The sequence below is a fragment of the Homo sapiens genome, chromosome 2 (genome assembly GCF_000001405.40).
Source record: "Homo sapiens chromosome 2, GRCh38.p14 Primary Assembly".
Classification (NCBI taxonomy): Eukaryota; Metazoa; Chordata; class Mammalia; order Primates; family Hominidae; genus Homo; species Homo sapiens.
Genome location: NC_000002.12, coordinates 60,944,836 through 60,972,797, shown reverse-complemented (window position 1 = coordinate 60,972,797; position 27,962 = coordinate 60,944,836). Strand labels below are relative to the sequence as shown.

General features: G+C 38.6%; 1 protein-coding gene across 22 annotated transcripts in view; it reads left to right on the top strand.

Moving 5' to 3' along the window:
• Positions 1-27,962, top strand: part of PUS10 (pseudouridine synthase 10) — a 78,037-nt gene that overhangs the window by 45,462 nt on the left and 4,613 nt on the right. For 21 of the 22 annotated variants that reach the window (XM_011532574.4, XM_017003428.3, NM_144709.4 and 18 more), the window contains 13 exons: positions 1,241-1,275; positions 5,185-5,296; positions 7,314-7,375; positions 7,695-7,740; positions 9,908-9,972; positions 11,250-11,335; positions 12,281-12,406; positions 17,724-17,780; positions 18,640-18,716; positions 18,810-18,865; positions 19,684-19,801; positions 24,613-24,755; positions 27,690-27,789. In XM_011532574.4, coding sequence (XP_011530876.1) covers positions 1,241-1,275; positions 5,185-5,296; positions 7,314-7,375; positions 7,695-7,740; positions 9,908-9,972; positions 11,250-11,335; positions 12,281-12,406; positions 17,724-17,780; positions 18,640-18,716; positions 18,810-18,865; positions 19,684-19,801; positions 24,613-24,755; positions 27,690-27,789 — 1,083 coding nt within the window. The remainder of the gene's footprint in view (positions 1-1,240; positions 1,276-5,184; positions 5,297-7,313; positions 7,376-7,694; positions 7,741-9,907; positions 9,973-11,249; positions 11,336-12,280; positions 12,407-17,723; positions 17,781-18,639; positions 18,717-18,809; positions 18,866-19,683; positions 19,802-24,612; positions 24,756-27,689; positions 27,790-27,962) is intronic. The other variant, NM_001322127.1, reaches the window with a different exon arrangement.

Below are 27,962 nucleotides of genomic sequence, written 5' to 3'. Positions count from 1 at the left end.
CATCCGAAGGAAGTCCTGTTAGTTTAGAAGGACAGGTCTACATACGAACCACAGCATATCCATAAATTAAGCCGTGTCTTGAAGTGGATGTGAATGATAATCGTTGGCCTTTTTTTGTGACACGTAGAAGCAGACTACATGTGGTATTTATTGACTTATACAATGTTTCCGTCATGTTTACAAAATGCTGTGTGCTGTGGGGGACATATCGTTACCTTTCTTTAAGGTGAAAGCTGTGGGAGTCTAACAGGAAACAGAAATCTCAGTGTCAGTCACTTACTATGCAAAGCATTTGGCATACATTTCTTTTTTTTCTTTTTTTTTTCTTGAAACGGTGTCTCGCTCTGTCGCCCAGGCTGGAGGGCAGTGGCGCGATCTCGGCTCACTGCAAGCTCCGCCTCCCGGGTTCACGCCATTATCCTGCCTCAGCCTCTCAAGTAGCTGGGACTACGGGCGCCCGCCTCCACGCCCGGCTAATTTTTTTGTACTTTTTTTTTCAGTAGAGACGGGGTTTCACCGTGTTAGCCAGGATGGTCTCGATCTCCTGACGTCGTGATCCGCCCACCTCGGCCTCCCAAAGTGCTGGGATTACAGGCGTGAGCCAGCGCGCCTGGCCCAGATTAAATGCGGGCTGGGCGCGGTGGCTCACGCCTGTAATCCCAGCACTTTGGGAGGCCGAGGTGGGCGGATCACTTGATGTCAGGAGTTCGAGACCAGCCTGGCCAACATGGTGAAAACCCGTCTCTACTAAAAACACAAGTTAGCCGAGTGTGGTGGCAGGCATTTGTAATACCAGCTACTCAGAAGACTGAGGCAGAAGAATATCTTGAACCTAGGAAGCAGAGGTTGCAGTGAGCTGAGATCCTGCCAGTACACTCCAGCTTGGGTGACAGAGCGAGACTCCGTCTCAAAAAAAAAAAAAAAAAAAAAAAGAGAAGAAAGAAAGAAAAAGAAACACTCATACCTCATTAATGAGAAATAGAAATCTGTAAGGAGGAGGGGGATACCCCGGCTGAATTCCTAGGCCACAGTAAACCACCATTGCAAAATAAAATCTTACCTCATTTTTGATTTTAAATGAGACTGAGGTCACTGGTAAATTTTTGAATACTAACTCGTCACCTAAAAAGGGGAGTTTGATTAGCAAATAGTTAAGCACTTCAGTAATGATATTGAGACTTAATTTCACTGAACATGTTTCCCCCTTTTCTCTTTCTGGGTGTGACTAAATTGCCTACAGCATGCTGCATGGTTGCTGGTAAAACAGGAAATGGGGTAAGTAATTTAGGTAGGGAATTTTTACTACCATTCAAATACAAGCTACCTGGTTCTTAAAGCACTTTTACTACTACAATCTCTATTTTTATAGTGCATTCACTAGCTACTAGAGAAATTAGCACAAAGAACCAATTTTTATTCTATACATTTAGGGTATCAATCTTGTTTCATTAGTTTATTTGCATAGCATATTAGTAGTTTATTAAAGCAGGTTCATTTTTTGTGTGTTTTAATATGAATGTAAATACATGTTTTATATGCATTAGGCACTTATGTAATGTAGTTTGGGCAGTTATTTTTTAAAAATAAATTTTATTTATTATTATTATTTTTTTTTTTTGAGGTGGAGTCTTGTTCTGTCACCCAGGCTGGAGTGCAGTGGTGTGATCTCAGCTCACTGCAACCTCCACCTCGCTGGTTCAAGCGATTCTCCTGCCTCAGCCTCCCAAGTAACTGGGATTACAGGAGCCTGCCACCATGCCTGGCTAATTTTTGTATTTTTAGTAGAGATGGGGTTTCACCATGTTGTCCAGGCTGGTCTTGAACTCCTGATCTCAGGTGATTCACCCGCCTCGGCCTCCCAAAGTGGTGGGATTACAGGCACGAGCCACAGCATGCAGCCTAAAAATAAATTTTATATTGGTCTTAGAAACTAAACTATAAAACTATGTCATAAAAGATAAAAAGTAAATAACTGGTGGAACAACAGTGAGTTTACACATAGGTAAGACATAGAAAACATAGATTCACAATCCTTTATCTGAAACACTTGGAGGCCAAAAGTGTTTTGAAATATAAAATTTTTGGATTTTTAAAATGTGATATGATGTTAGAGATCATGTATATCATTTCCGTCCCCTCCCCCGCCCAGGCTCTGGGGTGGTACTACATAATCAAACATATTAATATTTCTGCAACAAAACATATGAATATTCATAGTAAGTTTGATAAAGTCTCTAAATCGCCTCCTTCAAATCAGGATTTGATTCCCAACTGAATTTAAAAATTTTTTTTAATTCTCCAGAATATTTTGGCATTTGAAACTAAAACATACCAGTAAAAAAAAGGGCCATATGACTGTTGGCAGTACCTATGTACTCTGGAGAGAAAAATCCAGGAAGAAGCATAAATTTCTGTTTTAGAATCTCATACTTGGTTAAGTGACTTATAGAAAAATAATTAATTTGGCTTTTTTGTTTGTTTTGTGTTATATATCTGCATTTTCAAAAGGGTAATAACTACATAAGGTTTGGGGGTTTCGTTAGATCTTATTAAATTAGTCTCAAATGGTTTAGATTCTGGTGTAATAAAACTTGATCCTATGTTTTTAGAAATTTGCTAGCATAGTCAGAGCATGCTTTTTTCTAAATGTTTTCAATTTATATCTATGTTGCTAATGAGTTACTGTTTTTATTTCGGGTTTTGTTTTTTTTTTTAAACGTAGTTTCACCCCTGTTGCCCAGGCAGTGGTGCAATCTCGGCTAATTGCAACCTCTGCCTCCCAGGTTCAAGTGATTCTCCTGCCTCAGCCTCCCAACTAGCTTGGGATTACAGGCATGCACCACCATGCCTGGTTAATTTTTTTTGTATTTTTAGTAGACACAGGGTTTCACCATGTTGGCCACGCTGGTCTCTTAACTCCTGACCTCAGGTGATCCACATGCCTCGGCCTCCCAAAGTGCTGGGATTACAGGCATGAGCCACTGCTCCCGGCTTTTTATTTCTTATCAAAGGATTTTAAACTAAGTTTAGTTCTTCCAAAAGATTCTGACTGATATAGGGATAATGGAACAGAAAAAAACACAGGTCATTGTTCTTTTCCCTCAGTGTCCCTAGTTCATTCTGGGTTGAAAAGATTGTGGAGGAATTGCTGTTAAAGAATTGATTTAGGGAACTTACAAAAAAAATTAATTGCCTTGCATACTCTGGTTCATCTTTTCTTTAGAATGGTTGTTGTGTTGTATCTACAGCAAAAGTGATTGCAACTGACACCCTCATAAGCACTTATCTGACAGAGAAGAGAAAGAGAAGTGTAGTTACTAAGTATGAAATGGGGACTGAATTTACTTTAATGAGTACTAGTCCCTCTAAAGGACAATCAGGTATATGCTAGGGACCTCTGTGAAGATATTTAGCCCAAATTGTATTAGGAAACTTATTAGCTGCATTTAACTTTCAGGATTGGAAATCTGGCATTTTAAGTAGTATATTTGCTTTATATATAAGGATGAGGTTTCCAAGCTGTCTGTTAACCTTTTCCTCTGGCTCTATAATCTGGAGGGAAAAAATACCTATGGTTGAAGTTTTTAAACTGGACTCAAATGCACTAAATATATTTCAAAGACTGTGAAGGATTTAAAACACTGGTTTTCTTAAATAATGTTTTAACTCATTTTTGGGATTCGCTTTTGTAACAACCCTTTGGACTTTCCAGAATGTAAACAGTTTTAAAAATTGTTTCCATTCTTGTGTTTTCTGTTTCAACGTTTATTCTTTAAAATGTATTTTCATATATTATTTACTTTCAACTGTGATGCTATTTTGTGCAAATATTAAATAGTTGAACTGTTGACACAGTATCAGGATAGTCTTTTAAAATACCTAAAATCTTTCTAATATTCAGAGAATTAGGAACAGTTTATGAAGCTCACACAGTATTTGAATAAGTTCTTGGATGTAGAGAAATAATTTGATTATTTGTCAGATGTAGAGTTTATCTGGGTATTTCAATGTTAAATCACAATCCCAAACCATATGAAAGCTCTCTCTGTAACAAGTTATATTCTCAGCTGGATACAGAATGGGTAGATCAACTACTTCTTTCTTTTTTTTATTTTTTTTTGGATCAACTATTTCTTATTTTGCATTTTTAGAGGAATAGTGATCTGCATATTCTTTTTTTTTTCTGATCAACTAAATTCAGCCATTAGCTTAATTACTTTTTGTTTTTAACCTGTGGTTAGTAGTGTCTTTTGGTCTTAAATTACAATGGATGTTGCCTATAAGGAGTAATTTCTATCAGTGAAAATTGGGCATTAAAAGGGATGATGCATAAGTTGGCCCTTACATCTCTTTCATTAAAAGCAGCCCTATAAATCGCCATAAGGCTGGTTTGAAGTTTTAATTATTTGAATGACGTGGGCTTGTTAGTTTGTTAGTAATATCCCAGTGTTCTCAGCAGAGTAGAGGAGTTTTAATAATACCACACCATGTTTTTCATCCCTTTTATCTCAAGTTCCTTTCTATCACAATTTTAGGTTACAAACTAAAGCTATAATTTATAAAAGGGACTTCCCAAAACCTATTTATTGTCTCATGAGTATATTTTGGGGGAATGTCAAATTTTTATTCAGCTATTTATCTGATAATACATTGATGAGCATTTCAGAACATTGATACTTTAGGATTTAATATTTCTTCTTCAGCAGTAAAGTTTTTTAAAAAGTACAGCTTCTTTGTTGATTTCCCAAAAGTAAGCCCCATTTTCAACAAGAGGGGAAAAGCAAGCATTAAAATGTGGATGTGATTATTGTAATACACAGTTTTATAGTTTGTGAGCAGTAAACCAATCATCTCTATCCCATCTTTCTGTCTTCTGATGTATAAATCCTGGAATCTGGCAATTCTAGCTTAGAAAAACCCATAGTGTGCTTTTGACTTTGAAGCTTTAAAAATTGTGTTATATGCCATTAAAAAAAGTAATTCCATGATTCCACTAGAGTATAAGGTCCATGAGGTGAGGAATTTTTGTCTGCTTTGTTCTCTGCTTTCTATTTAATGTGTAGAATAGTGCCTGGTACATACTAGGCACTCAATCAATATTTTAAAAATAATTGCATAAATTCTTGCCTTTAATAGAAAAAGTAAAGTTTTTCATGTCAGTGAATTAATTTTTATGTTATTCAGAAAGCAGAGTCTGTCGCTGGGAAGAGATGATATAGTTCAGCTAAAAGAAGCCTACAAATGGATAACTCACCCCCTGTTTTCAGAGGAACTGGGTGTTCCCATTGATGGAAAGGTATTGGGTCAACAGCATTGTTAATTTTATTCTCTGATTTTACTAGTTTTACTTAATTATATGGCAGGGTTTTGGTTAGCCAAAAAAACTTCTTTTTAAATAATCCAGTGAAGGATTTTTTAAGCTTTTAAAATGTTAAATTCTGATAGTCTTAAATTGAAGTCAAAGCATTTCTTTTTTTCTTTTTCCCTTAGACTTCTTTATGATCTAAGACACTTATGAAGGTACCAGGTGCCCTAATTGACCTTAAAAGGTTAGAAATGAATCTTTGCCTTGATGCAAAGCATCAGACTTGATGCAAAGCAACATATAAATAACTGCAAGCAAATATAGAGTCAACTCTGGACTATTTAATTTTGGTTTATCTGTGGCTAATCTTGTTTTCAAATGCATGGACAGAACCTATTCAACTACAATGAGTATGGGCTCAATCCTACCTTGTTGGTATCTCAAATCCCCCTGTTTACTTTTAGGCAGTAACTGCCTTTGAAAACAGAACATTTCCCTTTTCCAGAGCAGACCTTACCTCAGTCTCTGAAATGGGTTGACTTTCAGGGAAGACTCAACAGGCTTCCAGGTGTGAAAACAGGAAGGTCATCTTAAATTAGATTTTAATATTATGGCCTCATTGCTTCATCATTTTGCTAGAAGGAAATTCCCTGAATATCAGATACACCCCTATTCAAATAAAATCACAAAACCATCTACTAAAGCTAAACAGTTTTTCAAAACCATTCTGAATTATGCAGTAATATTTCCTTCTGTAAGAATATGCTCTGTTCTGTAAACCGAGTATTGAGAGAATAGAGAATAAAACCACTTCACAGATAGCATGAAGAGGAAATGAGGTAATGAAAGTATTTTGGAAGTTAGAGAAGTCATTAATGCAAAATATTTTTACCTCAAATTTCAGTTTTGAAGCACAAATAATTTTACATGTTGTATCAGTGAGAACAGAAAATAGAAAACAAAAGATGTGGGTTGAGTGAAGTTTCCCTGAATAAAAGGAATGCGTTGTTCATTTTAATTATTGTATAGATTAGAATAAGGAGCGAGAAAAAAAAAGCTATTCATTATTGTGATTCTAGAGTAGCTAATAGGTCTACTAACTATCCAATGAACTCAGTAAATATAAAGACAAAATTGCAACATAGTATGGCATTTTTAGCTATTCCTGCCCCTGACCCCTCCCCGATATGGAATTTTGTATATTCTCCATGGAGGTAAAAGTATAAAATCATGCTTTTTTTGGTGTACAAGGATGTTCATTATAGCATTTTTTTTTTGTTACAGAAAAATTTTCTACAGCTTAAATGTCTGACAGTCCCTAGAGTTGAAAAGATTTCCATGATATAATATTAAAGCAATTTTCCAAAAGCATGTCTTAAAAAATAATACATATACATTTATATTCACAAAAATGCCTAGAAAGAAACATCAAATTGTTAATGGTTCTGCTTCAGTGGCGTGGGATTGAAAAACTGTCTTGTATTTGATCATTTTATAATTTATGTGTATAATTTTTGTAATAAAACAAAAAAAATTAAGATCTGGTTTTAAAACTCAAATCCATTAAGACGTTTGAGCACTTTAAAAAGAAGCTTCATATGGTTTTTAGGGATCTGAATAGTATGTTTTTTGCCTTGCTAATAATTCAAATCATAGTATTGGCAGAATAATTCTTCATTTCTCTCTGTTATTATTTATTTTCAATTCTGTAAATTCTCATTCATCTTTATACCTAATTTACACATTTGTCCAAAAAGTATACACATTTATTTTAAAACTTTTTTGGTAGGATCACTAATGACTGAGTTTTAGAAGTTAAAAAAAAAAACAAAACTATTTCCTTTACAGCTGCCCTGATAACAAGTTGATTTGAGAGCAGTAGTATTTCCAGTTTTTCTGGTCATTCTTTTCTGAGCCAATCTTTGAGAATTAATTTCTATTTCCATTAATAAGTTGTTAGATGTTAGTTTCCTTTTGCTCATTTTTAAACTGTCTTTATAATTTTTAGAGCTTGTTTGAAGTGAGTGTGGTCTTTGCTCACCCAGAAACAGTTGAGGATTGCCACTTCCTGTAAGTTGCCATGTAAACAACGTCAATGGTGTAAAATTGTTAATGCTGTTTGGTTTTCATGAAAATAGTATTGCTTCTCTTCCTAATAAGAAAGAGAAGAACTTGTTATGTCTTAGTAGGTTTAAAATGTGCCCTCAAAAAAATAAAATGTGTCCTTGAACATAGTTCCTGGGCAAACCGATATAGCTCATACAGGGACTCATTTTGTCTGCTCCTGATGTCCTGAGTTTAGCAGCCATTTTGTATGAAATATATTTGAATTATATCTACCCCAAAATAAACTCATTAACCTTTTATATTAACTTGAATTTTATTTTAGAGCTGCGATATGCCCAGATTGTTTTAAGCCAGCCAAAAACAAACAGGTAAGGAAAGGTTCCCGCTTCTTAGTCTTGAGTGAGTTTTGTCTGAGCTGAATATTCAAATTTCCAACAAAAAGGATATGCATCAGAAACATGGCAACTCTATTATACTAAGAATCAGCTTTTAAATATTTCCATTTGCTACATTAATTTTTGTTTTTCAACTTTTTCAACCTTCACCTCTGGCTAGGAAGTTGTAGCACACAAACATCCTCATGTTTGTGTAGTGTCTAGATTGTTCCCCTGACGATGTTAAATTTAGAATCAGTGTTTCAGTGATGTTACTATTACTCATTAAATTCGACGTTTAGATTTTAATCCCTCAAATTACATCATCTGAGAAAATCAATGGTAAGTATCAGTAGCATTCCAAACTTTCAGCTAATATCCATTTTCCAGAAATCAATGTTTAGAATATATAATTCAAAGTAAGTTGTTTTATTTAGGACAGTCCTGAATTAACATGTCCTCTTTCTGGCTACATTTGCAAAAAGGGCATTTTTATTCAAACTCTTCTTTATCATCTTAATGTTAGCTAATCTTCATGTTAACGGACAAGTTAGTTAACATACACTCTTAGCTCGTATCATGTCAGGATAGAATGATGTGGTGCGATATTGGTCATCTTTCATGCATCAGTTTCGTAGGTGGTTTGGTACGTAGACTTAGGCATTCCTACAGTTTTACTGACATTCATTTTGTTGTTGTGATTGTTAAAAAGAACATAAGCTCATTGTCAAATGTACATCTGTTGGTTTTGCCTCTTGCTTTGACTAATTGCTGGGCCTTTTAGAACTGGGGGAAAGAAGTTTGTAACATTTGCCTAATGCCCTGTGCAGAAATAATTAGAAATGCAGACCAAGCCGAAAGCAGCACCTCCCTACTTTTCTTATATCATGGCACATCTAAAACATTCCATGTTTGTTCAGCACCCTGAGCTTAACAGGATGGAGTTGCTTCAGATTGGTAGCAACAGGCCTGGGGTTTCCACTGTCTGAGGCCCTGCCCAGCAACCCTTCTGAACTAAAGAGATCAACATCTTGGCACAACCATAGTCCACTGCTTTGCTATGCCAGTTGGGAAGCTCTGCCCAAATAACCTGTAAGATGTATCTACATTGAAGACCTAGTTTTATTTTATTTACCCTTAAGGAAATATAATAATAGGCATCAAGTAATAGGATAAGGAGATTTTTGTTAAAGCATCATAGACACCACACCATTGGCCAGTGGGAGTTGTAGAGTCTGAAGTATAGTTTTCTTGCCTCATGGCTGGGAGCAAATTGAATGACTTTTTGAGATTTTTTTCAAGCCTAAGATTTCATATCTTATCAAACAGGCACTTAATTTTCAGTTGTAACCCTATGGTATCTTATAGAATGCCATAGTGTTCCCTAGAATATGGTTTTGAAAAAATTATTCCTTTGGTGATATACTGTTGAGCTGCCTACACTGTAATCCTTTTCAGTCAAATGTGATTTCTCCTAACAGAAGAACTAATTGTGATTTATCATGGTAAGCCATGTATATATGCACTAATTAGTTCTAGTGTGTCTACTGTGCAGTTTGGCTTTTCTTATCTTAAAAAATCCAAGTGGAACATTTGTTGTAGATGCCCTTCTGTTCAGTACAGTGGATTTGCTTACTCTGTGGCTGGTGAGTGAGACTGAGTTGCTAGATGCCAGGGCTGGCAGGTTGGCTCTGCTTTATCCCTTACCCTGGCAGCCAACTCCTAAATTACATACTGTGGCCTCTGAAGGGATGTAGGAAAGAAAAGGTAGCTGAATCAATCTAAATTCCTGTTGAAGTCAAGGGAAAAAAAATTAAATCACACTTCCTACAGTGTCATCATGTTTTGTATTTGAATTATACCATAATTTGAGAGAAGTGGGACAGTGTGGTGAAGAAGACCTGTTCTGCTAGATCTGCCTGTTATTATAGACAAAGACCAGATTGAAGAGAAGGGTTACAGAGGTATGCCAGTTGCAGAACTGACATGAATGCTTAAGTTTTATTTATTTTCTTGAAATGCTTAAGTATTTCTCCATGTTAAGTATATGAAATGATATAATGAAATGATACAATTTCTCCAGCCATGTTCTGTGTTTCACGTCTGATGTTTTCTTGTCTGGATAATAAAATGTCTTTTCTTCTCATTTTACCCTATATAGTCTGTATTCACTAGAATGGCAGTTATGAAAGCCTTGAATAAGATAAAGGAAGAGGATTTCCTTAAGTAAGTAGAAGTTTAGAAACAAAGAAGCATCGTGAAATTTTAGAATAAAGGGAATGTTAGAGATAAGCTGGATTATCTCTGAAACAAGATGATGTATTTCAGGGGCCAGGATTGTGTCTTAGTCATTGTTATCTCTCCAACCCATGGTGCAGTACCTGGCATATGTGGTGTTCAGTAAATGTTTGTCAAATTAATATCAAGTCTAACGTCTTTTTTTTTTAAAAAATACTTATTTATTTATTTATTTTTTTGAGACAGAGTTTCACTTTTGTTGCCCAGGCTGGAGTGCAGTGGAGCAGTCTCGGCTCACTGCAACCTCTGCCTCTCGGGTTCTAGTGATTCTCCTGCCTCAGCCTCCCAAGTAGCTGGGATTATAGGCATGCACCACCACTGCCCGGCTAATTTTTTGTATTTTTAGTAGAGACAGGGTTTCGCCACGTTGGCCAGGCTGGTCTTGAACTCCTGACCTCAGGTGATCCACCCGCCTCGGCCTCCCAAAGTGCTGGGATTACAGGCGTGAGCCACCGTGCCCGGCCGAATCAAGTTTAACTTCTTGATCTTTTAGAAGAGGGTAGTGTGTCCAAAGAAGGAGTTGACTTGCCTAAGCTAGTAATAGAGTAGACCTGGAGCCAGATGTCCTGAAATTCTAGCCCAGTGCTATGCCTATTACATCCTTAGTCCTGTATTTCCTAGTATCGTTCATCTCCAGAAAAGGGAGAGGAAGGCTCATGAGTTTCCTCACTTGTTAAAATATGCTAAAATAAAATAAATGCAATAAACCTTACATTTTAATTCTTGGTACATTCATTTTATTAAATAAAATATTACTGTAAGTTTTCTTTCCAGAAGATCCTTCAATACATTTCAAACGATGATGTGATAAGGGGGGTAGAGTCAGCAGTAAACTGCACATGACCATGGACAGCAAAATGGTTAAAGAGCCTGAAGGGGCTTCCACTTCCTATGTATGGATTTTTCCCTCAAATCTTGAGGCTATTGGAAAGTATTAGGTTGGTGCAAAAGTAATTGCAGTTTTTGCCTCGGAAGATAAGTCCTCCCGAAGGTGAAAGGTAGCAGCAGAGCCCTTATTTACTTAGTGCCACTCTCATATGTTAAAATTGTTACTCCACAGGCCTGCAAGACCTGTATTGTTGCGAAACTAAAAGTTAGAGAGAGACTTGGGCTCTGTGTATGTCTCAGACAATGCTGATTCATCTAAGTTTTGTGATTCAATATTATGTCTGGAAAATAGCTATAAAATTTATTTTGTTTTGCAGGCAGTTTCCTTGTCCTCCAAACTCACCAAAGGCTGTATGCGCTGTTCTTGAAATTGAATGTGCTCATGGTGCTGTTTTTGTGGCTGGTAAAATATTTAGTCTAGAATATACATACACTGTGAACGTACTCTCCTTTCTAAAAACTCAGCTGACTCCTGTTCTATTTTATTCTTATTGTTGTTATTAGATTCTAATAAGTTTACTCTCTTGAGAAGTAGAATCAATAGCCAAACTTATTTTAGGTTTTGTGGGCATTCTAAAGGATCACTTAGGAGATCAGTTATTTTAAATGCCATGCCAAAGGGAAATGACACTTCCTAGGTTTTAATAGTTCTCATCAGAGATGGCCAAGTAGAAATATGGGTAGATGCAGAGACCCAAAACTGGTTTGGAGAAAAACAGCAGGACAGAGGCTATTTTATAACATAAAAGCAAACTTGAAAAAATAACTTATTATCTCCAAAATGACTAAACACTTGGCTTCCACTGGAAAGAAATTGTTCATTGACTTTCCTAAAAGGTAATCTGGCAGACAAATTTTTGTTTGAAAGTTACAACTGTTTTATAGTAATAGCTGAAGTGAAATTGCTCTTCAGCCTTGACTATAATATCCTATCCTAGGGCAATGAAAGCTACCTGCCTTACTGTAGCTTTACTCATCAGGTGTAAAAGCAAGTTTGGTTGCGTTTTTTTTTTTTTTTTTTTATCCTTGGTATATTCATAATATTATATAACTTGTTTAGTCAGCCAATCAAATTAAATATATTGAGCATTCCTTTCAAACTCATTTGATGTACCATTCATATCATATATTTACCCATCTATTTTATTGTTACTTTAAACCTTTTTATTTAATTATCTACATGTATATGTCCCAGGTCTCCAAATTGGATTGTTAGTTAGGTAAAGGATAGGCCTTGTTTTATATCGTAGCACTTAGGATATTGGCCCTTATAGTTGTTGCTTCTCTTTTTATCCTACCATGTTAATTACTCCATTCCATCCAGGCTATCTGATTATTTCTTTCTCAGGGAGATATAATAAATACTCCAGGAATCTACCACAAACTCCTTGGATAATTGATGGAGAAAGGAAGCTGGAATCTTCAGTGGAAGAATTAATTTCAGATCATCTGTTGGCAGTATTTAAAGCAGAGAGTAAGTGTTACGATCTTCATACTTTTCTTTCTTTTTTTTTTTTTTTTTGAGATAGGGGCTTGCTTTGTCAACTAGGCTAGATTGCAGTAGCACGATCACAGCTTATGGCAGCCTTGACTTCCTGGGCTCAAACGATCTGCCCACCTTGGCCTCCTAAAGTCCTGGGATTATAGGCATGAGCCACCCCACCTGACCTAATCTTCATATTTTATTCTCTCTCTCTTTTTTTTTTTTTTTTTTTTGAGAGAGCCTGTCACCCAGGCTGGAGTGCAGCCTCAATCTCCCAGGCTCAAGCAACCCTCCCATTTCAGTCTCCTGAGTAGCTGGGACCACAGGTATGCACCACCATGCTCGGTTATTTTTTAACATATTTTTAGAGATTGGGGGGTCTCACTATGTTGCCCAGGCTGGTCTCGAACTCCTGGGCTCAAGTGATCCTCCTGCCTGGGCTTCCCAAAGTGCTGGGATTATAGGCATGAGCCACTGCACTTGGCCATATATTTAATACACTGACATTCATGAATAGATTTCTTGGGGGTGGCAGGAAAGATTTCTATATTTTGTTAATCACTACCAAGTCTGGGCCTCTTGGCCATAGGCTTCCTGTGCCTATGGCATCATGTTCTGGGTGCCGCTGGCCTGGGCTGGATTTCAGCCAAGGCACTCGAGAATATCTGCCTGTCCTCTCTCAAGATGATTGCTCTGCCGAGTGCAGTGGTGCGCACCTGCAATCCCAGCACTCTGGGTGGCTGAGGCGGGCGAATCACTTGCAGCCAGGAATTCAAGACCAGCCTGGGCAACATGGTGAGACCCTGTGTCTACTAAAAATACAAAAATCAGCTGGGCATGGTGGTGCGCACCAATAGTCCCAGCTACTTGGAAGGCTGAGGCACGAATCGCTTGAACCCAGGAGGCAGAGGTTGCAGTGTGCTGAGCTCGCACTACTGCACTCCAGCCTGGACGAAAGAGTGAGACTCTGCCTAAAAAAATAAAAAATAAATTTGAAAAATGACTGTTCTCTCCTGGGGAAATTCAAAACAACTGAAACTACTTTAAATGAATGCACCTAAGCCCTGACCTTGGTACACCTCAGCCTTGGCCTCTTTGGGGGAATATGAGGAAATTAAAACACATCTTCCACATCCAGTGCTTCTTCAAGAGTAATCACTGGCAAGTGTTTGGCTTCTCTCTTAACCTGTAAAGTGTCCTGGAATAAAGTTCAGGCCTAGAGAAAGTAAATCAACAGCAGCCATTTTACAAAGACTGAATGGCAGCTGTAATGTTTTTGAATTTAGGTATTAACGAGCCCAGGTTCATGGGATGAGTCAGGTTCCATCAGGTTTATGTTTTCCTTGTCTCAACAGGCCTGTCAGGTCAAAGGCAGCATAATGTCTTGTGATTTCAATTGCAGGAAATGGTGTTACACGTCAGGAAAAACTGCAGGGCATGGATGATATTACTCTTTGGAATGAGGCTCCTAGTATAATTAGAAAACCTTTTTTTTTTGAGACAGAGTCTTACTTTGTTGCCCAGGCTCTAGTGTAGTAGTGTGATCACGGCTCACTGCAGCCTTTAGCTCCTGGGCTTAAGCAATCCTCCTGCCTCAGCCTCCCAAGTAGCTGGGACTACAGGCATGTGCCACCATGCCTGGCTAATTTTTTTGTATTTTTTGTGGAGATGGAGTTTTGCCATGTTGCCAAGGCTAGTCTCAAACTCCCGAGCTCAAGCAATCCATCTGCCTTGGCCTCTCAAAGCGCTGAGATTACAGGCGTGAACCACCACACTCAGCCAGAAAACCTTTTTGTGACAGACCAGCTAGAAATCCATCCTTCTCTCTGAAAGACCTTAAGATAAGCATGCTTTGATAATGACAAACACATGGTCTAGATGAGACATGGCTGACCCTTCCAGCTCCCTGACTTGCAAGGAGGAAAGAGAAACACTTCAAACCACATCCCTCTTATAATTTGTTGCCTATCACAGAGGTGGCCCTTCTTTAAGGGTCTTTAAGAATTGTTTACTGAATGGAAAAAAGAGTATACCAGCACCCTAATATTTTCCAAAATCTTAGCAGTAAAGACCCTGGGCTTTGCCATGAGCTTTTACCCGCTTAATTTGGTATTTACAAATGGATTATCACATAAGACTTATGCAGGTTATGAAGGGATGAAAATAAAGCGTTAGCACAAAAAGTTTCATTTGGATTCTTTTTGGGGCCACCTGTCACGCCAAGTGTCAGGTTCCAGCCCAAGCTGAAGACCGAGAGGAGTGGGCGGATGAGTGGTGGGCAGCTGAAAGAACACTTAAGGAATCTTAGGGAGTTTTGGACATGGCTTTATTCTCTCTCTCTGGGCAAAAGCCCAGGCACGAGACATATGTACAGCATCAGCAGGGTAGTTATACCTTTTACAGACAATAGTGGCTCCGAGCCAAGCAAAAGTTCATGTGAGTGATCACCTAATGTGCCTCACGTGGCATGGTTACATAATGTGTGGGGTTGTGCACCTGTGCACCAAACCTACTGAGTCATGCTGTGCTGGAAGCCTGCCTCAGTCTACTCCTGACTAAAACACAGCCATTTCCCTTATACTCCACCCCCTGGGCTGAGGGTGTCCTCTGGGCAGGGACACACGGCCATAGGGCAGAGCCCTGAGTCCATAACTCACAACAACAATACAGAGAGCAACAGATCACCACTAGGATCCCAGCTATGCTACTTATGTCTACCAGGGCACAGCGTAGGCTAGAGCCTAGGGATGCCCGCCATCTCTGCAGGGGGTCATCAGTAAAACCCTTGACTGTCTTAATCTCCCGTGAGACCCATTGCAGGGCTGCTTTTACGTTCTGCCGATTATCTGGGATAAAGGTACAGCACCGTGTTATGTTTACACAGGCCGTGACAGGTAGCCATCCCAGTGGTGTTAACCCAGTGTTGCTCTGGGCACCACAGTGCCTGGGCTGGGGGTACTACATGTTCCCCCACTAGCCAGCTCCACCCATCATAAATGCTATGAGCCAGCCAGGGGGCAGGTGTGTCATGGGTCTTGCAGCATCCTTTGTCCAAGGCTTGTGCATCGCGTTCCAGGCATCAGCACACGAGGACCACTGCAGATTAGCTGAACCACTTATAGTTCCTGATCATTCTTGCCCTTGATACTGTTTCTTAGGGGGATGAGACAAGGCATAATGGGAGTTGAAAAAACTCAACCAAGTTTTAAGCATGTATTTTCTAATACTTAAGGGAGTGGCTTCTTTTCCTTTTTTGTCAGCTGCTATTTATAATTGCACACTAATAAGTTTTCAGGTTTACCTCCCAGGTTTCTCTCACTCTGGAGTCCAAGGATGTTTCCTTAATTTTCAGGTTTGAAACATTTTTCTTTTTTTTTCTTTCTTTTTTTTTTTTTTTTTTTTTTTTTTGAGATGGAGTCTCGCTCTGTCACCCGGGCTGGAGTGCAGTGGTGTGATCTCGGCTCACTGCAAGCTCAGCCTCCCAGGTTCACGCCATTCTCCTACCTCAGCCTCCCAAGTAGCTGGGACTACAGGCACACGCCACCACACCCAGCTAATTTTTTTGTATTTTTAGTAGAGACAGGTTTCACCAAGTTAGCCAGGATGGTCTCGATCTTCTGACTTCGTGATCCACCTGCCTTAGCCTCCCAAAGTGCTGGGATTACAGGCGTGAGCCACCGCACCCAGCCTGGTTTGAAACATTTTTCTAAAAGATCAGTAAATATGGCTTCTCCTTTAGTCTGAATCAAATGCTTTTGTGGCCTTCTCAAGGGCCTAGCTTTCTACACCTCTTTCTTACTGATGGGCTGGAATTTGTGGGAAGTTTTATGGCTGACTTATGAATTTAAGATTTCTGCTCCTTCAGTAACTAGTAGACTTATTTCTTTGAGGCCTGTTCATTCCCTTCACCCCTGCCAGTCACAGGTTCTTGTTCAGTCACTGTGGACACCCTGTTTTCCTGACGGGGCTGACCGGGAGACAGGGGTGGGCAGCTGTAAGACAAATCCTAGCCCCAAGGAGTCTGCATCTTCAGCTTCCCAGATGCCCTTTTTGAATTCACCATTGAACTATGGCCATCCATCTGTTGTTAGCACTACAGGTTGAGTCTGTTGACTCTGATTAGAAGATACCGATATTGCTATGGATTTATTAGTAACTTCACACTGGAGTGTAAACACAGAAGGGAGAGTTTTTTGGGACTTAGTGGTTCACAGACTCCTACATCCTGCCTGGCCTAGTTCTATATCTAAAAAAGTTGTTGTGTAAGCCCCTTACATTTTTTTTTTTTTTAATTTTCTCCTTCCAATATTTGCAGCTTTTAGTCCGTGACGATCAACTTATCGCAGAGCATACGCTGGTTCTGTCATGGTCCCAGCTTTGGTTTCATGACATGTATAATCATATATAATGAATTTGCTTCTTAGAGTCAAACCTTTTTTTCCCTCCTTTTCCTTTCATGGTGTTTAATTCTTAAATAATGACTGTTTTTGCTTTGTTCTAAGGAAAGAAAGAAAGATTATAGAGTTTTCACCATACGCTTATGGCCAGAGGGGTGGTGGGCTCTTCTTCCAAACAGGACTCTGCCTTGGCGTTCCCATGGGATGGTAGTTAAGGTTGGATTTTAACGTCAGAAACACCTAGCTCTGCCATTTACTTGTGTGACCTTGGGAACATTACCTAACTTTTCTGAAGCTTGGTGTTCTTTTATTTTATACCTACTTTATAAGGTTATAATAAGGATTAAATAGTACATGGTCCAGGTGCAGTGGCTCACACCTATAATCCCGGTGCTTTGGTAGGCCAAAGCAGGAGAATAGCTTGAATTCAGGAGTTAAAGACCAGTCTGGGCAACAAAGCAAGACCTCATCTCTACAAAAATTTAAAAATTAGCCAGGTGTGCTGGTGTGCACTTGTGATCCCAGCTACTTGGGAGGCTGAGACAAGAGGATTGATTGGGCCCAGGAGTTTGAGGCTGCAGTGGGCCATGATCACGCTGCTGCACTCCAGCCTGGGTGACAGAGTAAGATCTCATTTCTAAAAATAAATAAATAAATAAATAAAATTTAAATTATATATATAACATTTTTAGTCCAATGCCTGGCATATAATAAGTTCTCAATAAATGGTGTTTACTATTAGCATTACTATTTTTAGTAGAGATTGACATTAGAGGTGGGATGATGACTCTCCCTGGGGATTCTCCTATAGATTGTTCAAGACCTTCAGTTGGGTTTCTAGCAAAGGTTGGGAATGAATATCTTAGAGCTATGATGTCTCTAATTTTTTTTTCTTTATCTGCTTTTCAAAGGTTTTAATTTTTCATCCTCTGGAAGAGAAGATGTAGATGTGAGAACATTAGGAAATGGTAAGACTGCAACAGCATCACCTGATTAGAACTAACTTTCTGATTATCATCCTTTCTAGACAGCAGGCTTAGCATAGTCACTCAGTGAAAAACAAAGTGAGCAAGGCCCAGAGCTTCTCCAAGGGAGGAAGCTTTGTGGATTATGGAGGCCCCTTTATGAATTATATGAAATACACCTTAACAGGAATCATTTCTTCAGAGGCCATCCTGATTGCATACCTATAGGTTATAAGGGACTTGCATGTGCATTAACAAAGAGGTGCTTGATTTTTTTTCCAAAAGTTTGATTATTAATTTTTTCATTTAATAACATTTCAGAAGGACCAGTACAGTTTTCAGAATGTACATCTTCATTTAAAAAGTGATTCTGCTGTCTTAACCTTCATGTCTCTCATTTTACCCTATTGCATTACCAGAAAGATGATGACATTTAATCCTGAACTGTTTGAGGCTTATAGTTCCTTCCTCTCATGGAACCAAAGCTTTTCCATTTCACTAGTGGATCAGGCTAGAAGGATGGATTTCAACAGGGCATTGCTGCATGTGACAACTTTACATTAGTGTAACTAAGTTAATTAGTGGTTATTTAAACTGTGTTTTGTAATTAACACAGGCTTGTTCATGGGCCTTTGGGGAAGCAGTCATTTTCACATATTGCCTGTGCTGGGGTTTAGCAGCCCTGCAAAAAGCCCCTTGATTCTTCTCACACATTCTTCCCTCCCTCAGATGTAGTCATGTCACTAAACTTTCAGTCCTCTAGAGCTCAACCCACTTTTCACACCTCCTAACCCTCTTGCATTAGCCCAAATGTTAACTCCATCAACACGTTTCTGTTTCATGACGGGGTGTGTGCTGCCAGGAAGGCCCTTTGCAATTGAGCTGGTGAATCCTCATAGAGTACATTTCACTTCACAAGAAATTAAGGAACTTCAGCAGGTAAACCACTTCATGCCATGGAAATCGTCATGTTTCTGCAATTCTGTAACTGAGCTAGACTTGCTAATTGTTTTTCTTTTTCTGCTACTACAGAAAATTAATAACTCATCTAACAAAATCCAAGTACGTGACTTGCAGCTTGTCACAAGGTAAGAGTAGGCTCATTGGAGATGATTTCAAAAGGGACGTTTTAGTTGCAGGTCACATATCTTGATAAGGGAATTGCATCCAGAATATATAAAGAACTCTTAACAACACAACTACAAATGGGGAAATGATTAAGTAGACATTTCTCCAAGGAGGATATAGGAATAGCCAATTAACATATGAAAAAATGCTCAACATAATTAGTCATTGGGGAAATGCAAATCTTAACCACTTCTAGATATTATATATACAAGAGAAATGAAAACAAACATCCACACAAAGACTTGTACATGAATATTTATAATAGCATTATTCACAATAGCAAAGAAGTGGAAAACTACCCAAGTGTCTATGAATAAACAAAATGTGATATATCCATACAATGGAATATTATTTGGTAATGAAAAGGAATGAAGTCCTGACACATGCTGCAAGCTGGGTGAGCCTTGAAAACATTATGAAATGAAAGGAGCCAGTCACCAAGCACCACGTACTGTATGATTTCATTATGTGAAATGTTCAGAATAGGTAAATCTATAGAGATACAAAGTCAGTTAATGGTTGTCTAGGGCTGGGGGAGAATAATAATGAGAAGTGACACTAATGGGTACAAAGTTTCTTTTTCAGGGTGATGAAAGTATTCTAAAACTAGATTGTGGTAATAGCTGCACAACTCTGAAAACATACTAAAAATCATTGAATTGTACAGTTAAAACTGGGAAATTATATGTAAACTGTTTTTAAAGAAAGGCTAATTCAGGGCAAGGTTTTTTTGTATTTTGTTTATTTGGACAAACTTCTAAAAATTGTTTTTGTTTAGAGAGGCAATAGGACATATGAAAGAAGGTGAAGAAGAAAAGACAAAGACCTACAGTGCCTTAATTTGGACAAATAAAGCGATACAGAAGAAAGACATTGAATTCCTAAATGACATAAAGGTAGTTTAAGTGTGCTTATTCTTTTTATTTCATTTTTCTGTTGCCTATCAAAGATCCCATTGTCTTCTAATTTATTACTAGCAAGTCACAGGGCATGGGCTTTGGGGTCAGCAAGACCTGGGTTCCAAGCCTGGTTCTGCCACTGACTAGCTGAAGGACTGGGCAGTTCATCTAACCCCCTGGAGCGGCAGCGTGGCCAGTGGGGAAGACCCCCACTCTGAAGACAGTTTGCCTGGGTGCAAATGCTGGATCTGCATTTCTGAGCTGTGTGACTTTGGACAAGTTACTTAACCTCTTTCTGCTTCAATTTCTTCATCTATAAAATTAGTTAAAATAATTAAATGAGTTTAATTAGATAAAGCACTTAGAACAGTACCTGGCACATAGGAAACACTTGGCAATGCTATTATTATCTTTGGTCATTTGTCAAAAATAAATATAAAATAGCACTTATCTAATAGAACTGATGCTGAGATTAAATACATGAATAAAACACATGACAATATATGTAAAGCACATGCATTTTGCCACATGTGACATTTTCCTATACCTGAGCATGTCATGGTAGAGTGCCTGTTCATGTGCATACTTCTTGCCATCTGCCCCCACCTCTTCTTATAAAAATAGTTTACTTTCTTTTTTTCTTTTTTTTTTTTTTTTTTGAGACAGAGTCTTGCTCTTGTCGCCCAGGCTGGAGTGCAATGGCACAATCTCAGCTCACTGCAACCTCCGCCTCCTGGGTTCAAGCGATTCTCCTGCCTCAGCCTCCTGGGTAGCGGAGATTATAGGCGCCCACCACCACACCTGGTTAATTTTTGTATTTTTAGTAGAGATGGGGTTTTGCCATGTTGGCCTGGCTGGTCTCAAACTCCTGACCTTGTCATCCGCCTGCCCCAGCCTCCCAAAGTGCTGGGACTACAGGCATGAGGCACCGTGCCCGGCCAAAAATAGTTTACTTTCAAATGCAAGGAATGAGCATACATGGGCACAGAGATGCATATAGTTACCACATTGTTTAAATAGGCAATATTTTGCAACAACCTAGATGACCTACTAGAAGGAACTGGTTTAATATTAATGGCTTATCTGTATAATGGACCACTACTATTCAGCCATTGAAAATTATGTGGTAGATAAATATTTATTGACACAGGAAAAGGTTTCTGGTAAGTGCTAAGGAAAAAAATAAAAGTATAGACTCTATAGAGGATGATATGTTTTAATTTAAGCCAGTGGTTCCCAACCCCCTGGTGGTACCAGCTGGTGACCTGTTAGGAATCTAGCCACATAGCAGAAAATGAGCAGCAGATGAGACAGCAAAGCTTCATCTATATTTACAGCTGCTCCCTATCACTCACATTACCACCTGAGCTCTGTCTTCTGTTCCCTCAGTGGTGGCATTAGATTCTTATAAAAGCACGAACCCTCGTGGAAATGACACGTGCGAGGGATCTAGGTTGCATGCTCCTTATGAAAATCTAATGCCTGATGATCCGTCACTGGGTCCCTCATCATCCCCAGATTGGACCCTCTAGTTGCAGGAAAACAAGCTCAGGGCTCCCACTGAATCTACATTATGGTGAGCTGTAAAATTATTTCATTATATATTACAGTGTAATAATGATAGAAATAAAGTGCACAATAAATGTAATGAGCTTGAATCATCCCAAAACCATCCCCTCCTTCCTCAGTTCATGGAAAAATTGTCTTCCCAGAAACTGGTCCCTGGTGCCAAAAAGGTTGGGGACTGCTGATTTAAGCACACACAAACGCATATATATGTATATGTATACACATATAGAGGATTGTGTAGAAAACAAATTGTATGGCAAAAGATACGATAAATAGGATTTATACTTATCATGAAAAATATGAACACAGAACAAATAAAAATAGACAAAGGATATGAACCAGTTAGCTGCAAAAAGAACAGTGGCCAAGAATCATTTGAAAAGGTTGACGTAACACTAAGACATCACTTTATTCCCCTTAGACTAATAATACCTATCAGTGGGTTGGAGTGGAGGAGAGTTCTCAGTAGAAATGTAGTATTTCAGCCTTTTTCAAAAACAACATGGTAATGACTGCAAAAATTTAAAATATACTGAACTGTCCTGTAGAAATAAAACTCCAGTGCATAAGAATATGTACATGGTGTTTAAGGGCTTTAAGTGGCAAAATCAACAACAAAAAGACTGGGAACAAAATCAGCGTCCCTCAATAAGGAAATGGTAGAGTAAACTGGGATATTATACAGCTATTAAAAAAAACAAAATCAGGCCGGGCATGGTGGCTTACACCTGTAATCCCAGCACTTCAGGAGGCTGAGGTGGTTGGATCACTTGAGGCCAGGAGTTTGAGACCAGCCTGGCCTACATGGTGAAACCCCGTATCTACTGAAAATACAAAAAATTAGCCAGGTGTGGTGGCGCATGCCTGTAGTCCCAGCTACTTGGGAAGATGAGGCATGAGAATAGCTTGAACCCAGAGGTCAGAGGTTGCAGTGAGCTGAGATCGCGCCACAGCACTCCAGCCTGGGGGACAGAGTGAGACTCTGTCTCAAAACAAAAGCAAAAACAAAACCCAGCATATGACCCTATTTAATTTACATGTTAGTATGTACATATGTGCCTAAAAATGCTGGGAAAAAAGATAGACGTATGTCTATATCTATGACTCATAGGAGCACTTATGACATGAGAAAAAAAGCAAAGTGCAGAATAATGTTTATAGTGTGAATATTTTGGTAAAAACACACAAATCATTCACCTGCTTAAAGAAAGTCATTTATAAAATGAGGAGATGGACTAGATCATCTCCAATGGCCTCTCCAGTTCTTAGATCTGTGATTCTATAGCTAAGACCCTTTGGCTTTTGGCCATACTATGTAAGGTTCTTTGGATGGTAGTTATAATATAGACAGATATCTTTAAGATTGCAAAATGAATTTTTAAATTTCTTTATGCCTTTCACATGGGTCGTACAAGTCATTGAGAATGCCATGGGAAAAATAAACTCATTAAAAAAATAGGTTCATAGTTTGAGGGTAGCCATAGAGATAATTCAGAAACAATGCTGAGGCCAGGGGCAGTGGCTCACGTCTGTAATCCCAACACTTTGGGAAGCCAAGGCAGGAGGATTGCTTGAGCCCAGGAGGTCGAGGCCACAGTGAGCCATCATGGCGCCATTGCACTCCAGCCTGGGCTGAAAGATGATTTTCATAGGTACAGACTAAGTGGTGAAAGGGTCTTTTTTAATGGTCCATAGCCTAAGTAGACTGATGCAACTAGTTGATTTCAAATAATGTTTTTAGTTTTCCAGTTGGCATAAAAATTATAAAAACTGACTAAATTCCCCATTCTGAGAAAAAGTCATTTCAAATTTACTACTTATCCCCTCTTCAGGAGCATCTTATTTCTAAAAAAAAAAACAAAAACAAGCGTATGTGTGTGTTTGTGTGCTTCTGAAAGCTCAGCAGTATGGGAGCAGCGGAGTGCAATGTTAGAATAAATGAAGTGGTTTCCTTTTGTCAACTAAAAACAAACAAACCAAAAAAGACATGTGGCTCGTGGTATTTCCATTGACCAACTGTCTCATGGTCAAAGTACTGGGAATAACTCTAAAGGTAAAGGAAGCAGGGGAGAGGACTCCATAGATAGTTGTTAATTTAAAGGCCTGCTGTTTCTCTAAAGTGGAAGCCATGTCTTTATAGATTTCTTCACAGTTCAGCCTTATCCTTTATTTATGTATTTTTTTTTTGTCTCTTTGACCAGAGAAAAATCAGATCTTATGGAGACAGCTTATCTCATCAGGACAAAGTGTTTCTATAATAAAATCAAAGAATCATAAAAACCACAGAGTTAGGAGGAGCCATTGACTCACCACTTTGGTAAAAGCAGTCACACCCTTTCAAATGCGGTCTTTGTCAGAACTTGCTCTTTTCTTCTTGGTGGAGAACTTGATAGAGGAGAGACCAGACAGAAACCTTTCTTTCTTAGCAGGCCTTCCGGCACTCAAGAACCATGGAAATTAGGAAGAGTTGTTCCGACAAGAAAATGAAGAGGATTCAGTTCTTATGAATCTGAATTTCTGATTACGCCCAATTTTTAAAACTTGGAATTAGTTGACCTTTTACAGCGTTAACCTCTATTTCTTAATTTTTATCTTGTGACATAAAAGAAAATCTCTAACGAATTGTGAGAAAAACAAGCCTGTGTCCCTAAAAAATCTGAAATGTAAAAAGACATGCGGTATTATTAGTTGCAAGCTGGGCTAACAAACATTGAAAGGTCCCGGTTTATTATGCACATCGATTTGTAATTATTATATTGAAATGTCACCCTAAACAAGATGTATTCATAACTTTTCCAGACATATCCTTTTGTATAACCCTTTTCCTTCACCAAAAAAAAACCAAAACAACCCACCCCTGACAGTAGGTATGTGGTTCTCCCTAAAACACGCAAACTCGACGGGGCGCAGTGGAGCACACCTGTAATCCCAGCACTTTGGAGGCTGAGGAGGGCAGATCACCTGAGGTCAGGAGTTGGAGATTAGCCTGGCAGATATGGTGAAACCGCATCTCTATCAAAAAAATACAAAAATCAGCCGGGCATGGCGGTGTGAAATGAGTAATGATAGACTGGGTTATGAGAAGTCCCACAGAGTTTGAACCTAAGGGGACACAATTCATTTTAGTTCTCTCAAGGAAGCATCTGTGGTGAGCTATGGATGGTGAGGGAAGGGCTAAGACAGGATTCACTGGGTGGCAAAGCTCTGACTCTGGGACTGTGTGTCATATTCTCCCCTAGGACTTAAAAATCGACCAGAAAACACCTTTGCGCGTCCTTCACCGAAGGCCCCTGGCTGTGCGAGCTCGCGTCATTCACTTCATGGAGACACAGTACGTGGATGAGCACCACTTCCGCCTCCACTTGAAAACTCAGGCTGGCACGTATCCTTCCACCTGCTGCACTGCCGCCATCGAACCAGAACTCTATTGGAAAAGTTCATGGTCCCCTAGAAAACAGGGTCAGCTTGGTCTGGGAGGGATTCGGGAAAGGATTATACTGAAGAAGAATATTTTTGTTTGTTTCTTTGTTGGATGTGGTTTTTTCCCACTTAATTTTCTTTTTCTTTTCTTTTCTTTTTTTTTTTTTTTTTTTTTTGAGGCAGAGTCTCGCTCTGTCGCCCAGGCTGGAGTGCGGTGGCGCCATCTCGGCTTACTGCAAGCTCCGCCTCCTGGGTTCATGCCATTCTCCTGCCTCAGCCTCCCGAGTAGCTGGGACTACAGGCGCCTGCCACCACGCCTGACTAATTTTTTGTATTTTTAGTAAAGACGGGGTTTCACCGTGTTAGCCAGGATGGTCTCTATCTCCTGACCTCGTGATCCGCCCACCTCGGCCTTCCGAAGTGCTGTGATTACAGGCGTGAGCCACCGCGCCTGGCCTAAATTTGTTTTTCAAAATGATTCTAAACCCTGAGGTAGCAGTCAGTTCAATGTCAGCTTTAAAGTTATGTTTCCTATAATTGTAGTGTCTTACACAATGCTGAGCACATAGTACTCAGAAAGATGGATTCATTTGCTGTCTTGACATTTTTTGCAAGTCACGTATTTATGACCATATTTGGGTCTTTTCAACATTTCAAGTATTTGCCTCAGATGATTAAACACAGGTAGTAGATGGGAATAGCACTACTTTACATCAGGATCTTTACTTGGCCACTGGCCTAGTACAACAGAGAATATCTTTGTCTACGTGCCTTGTGAAAAAAAAACAAAAACAAAACGATTCAGATGACATATCATTAGTTAGTTAGCACCATTTTCAGACTGCAAAGAGCTTTGACTGTGTTACAGAAAGGTTGAGATTCAGAGTTAAAATATCTATAGTCCAAGGCTGATAATTTGTTCGTAATCTAACCTGACTTGTATGATTTTTGTATCAGAACTGAGTCGCTGATTAAAATATATCAGGGAGCTCCAATAGGCTTAGCTTTAGTTTACTTTTTGAAGGTCTTCCTAGTTTTTGTTTGTTTCTTGGTTTTATATTATTCTGTGATCCAATAGCATGAAGTGACAAAATACCTTCTAACTGGTATAGAACTAATGTACTATTGTATGTGTGTGTGTGTGTGTCTATATATATATATTACACACACACACTAGATATATATATATGGGAAAAAAGCAAGTTTTAATCACCAAATACCATTCTTACTATATTGCTGTAACTAGTCTGCCTGTCCTTCCCCACCAGCCTGCATTCACTTCTTCCCCTGCCCCACCCCAGGACCTGGATTTACTCAGCTAAGCCAAGTATAGGTTATCTACTCTTAAAATCTTCTAAATTTTGTAATTTGGATCAAAGGATGATCAATTTAGACTCCAGTGGACAGATCTTTGTATCTTTGTTGTTTGGAGCATATTTGCCTATCATGGATGGAATTTCAAATCATGTATATATTTTTAAAAGTCTTCTTACCTAATCCTGGCCTTTAGTTCTGGTGGGCCAAGGAGAAATGTCTTTTGTAGAATTTGATGTCTTTTCAATCCTATTAAAACATTTTTAGGACAAGCCATGTACATGTACTTAAGGTATTAGCCAAGAAAGACTATGTGTTAAAGCTTTAGATGCCACATGGTTATACACAGAAGTATATTAATTTTTCACTTACTAAATTTACTTTATATATACCTTATATATTTACATTGATCACTGCACTGAGCTAGCTCATTTGACTTAAACCTTGTCCCTCTGGTTAGGAATAAGAACCTCTCTGGACATTTTAACTGGTTATTCTGGGGCTATTTGGTTTTCTCTCCTCATCATTGCTACGCAGAAGGGGATTCTTTAAAGAAAATGAGAGAAAATGGATAATAATTGTTGGGTAGTTGTGAGTTTACCAAAAAACACAGTTACTAGATAATTATATGTCTTATGCTTTAGTCAAAACATTTGGCAAAGGTAGAGTGAGTAAAACGTTCAGAAAGTGAGGACATAATATCAGCATATTATAATATAGATTTTTCATCATCTGGAAACAAATTTATTTCTCTATTCAAGTTCCATTAATTATTTTCTACTAAATGCTGGTTTGTAGAACAAAACATAATGCTGCATTTTTACCAAATTCTGGCAAAAACAAATCTTTTAGATAAATATTGTCAAAGCTGCAGTACAGTCCTATGTAAGGAATGTTAATCTTAAAAACAAATTCTAGAATTAGTTATTGATTTCAAAATTTGAAATACAATTTTGAGAGAAATACAAAGTTGCCCCTTTAAGAAAGAGAGAGAGAATTAACTTAGTTCTTTTGCTAACCATGTTAGCAAACTAGACGGTAGGTCTTTGGTAATCCTTCCGAAGAGCCATCATTAAGACTAAACTAATAGTCTCATTATTCCTTCCACCCTATTGCCTCTGGGTCATGTTACAAGGAATGCCATCATTGAGATCACTCTCTGTGTGGCTCTGTGGAAACCTACCATCTGGCAGGTGACAGTTGCCATTATTAAAAAAATGGGACTAACAAGATAATAACATAGAAATTGTGGCAAAGTTGTTTTTTAATAAAAGCATTGAGCTATGGTTAATTTTTAAAATCCACATCCAAACCTTGGCACTTGGAGATGAGCTATAAAGAAAAAAGAAAGTAATGATTTTTGGTAAGTTTGATGTAAACACATTTCCCAGGCTCTGATGTTGGCTGCCAGGCTACTAGGGACCACATTGCCAAAGCTTATTTTTTAAGACACACAAGTCAGAGCTCAGAAGTAACCTTTCTTTTGTAACATTTCTGCTCTTATTATTATTTTTGCCTGTCAAATCTTACCAAATAGTTGGTACAGCATGCTGTCTTCATTTTTTCCTTAAACAAACCCCAGCTACATTAAAGAGTTTGTACATGGAGACTTCGGGAGAACCAAGCCAAACATTGGGTCCCTGATGAATGTGACTGCAGACATTCTGGAGCTGGATGTTGAGGTAAACCATTTTGTTGTGGAATGCACATTGGCAAATTGAATTCAACCAAAGTTATGCTCTTTGGCATTAAGCCATTTTAGTATCACCCACCTCCATAGGTATTTGAGAATGGTGAAAATCTCACAGTAACATTGTATTGAAGGGAGGGACTGTCTTCGGATTTTTTTTTTTAA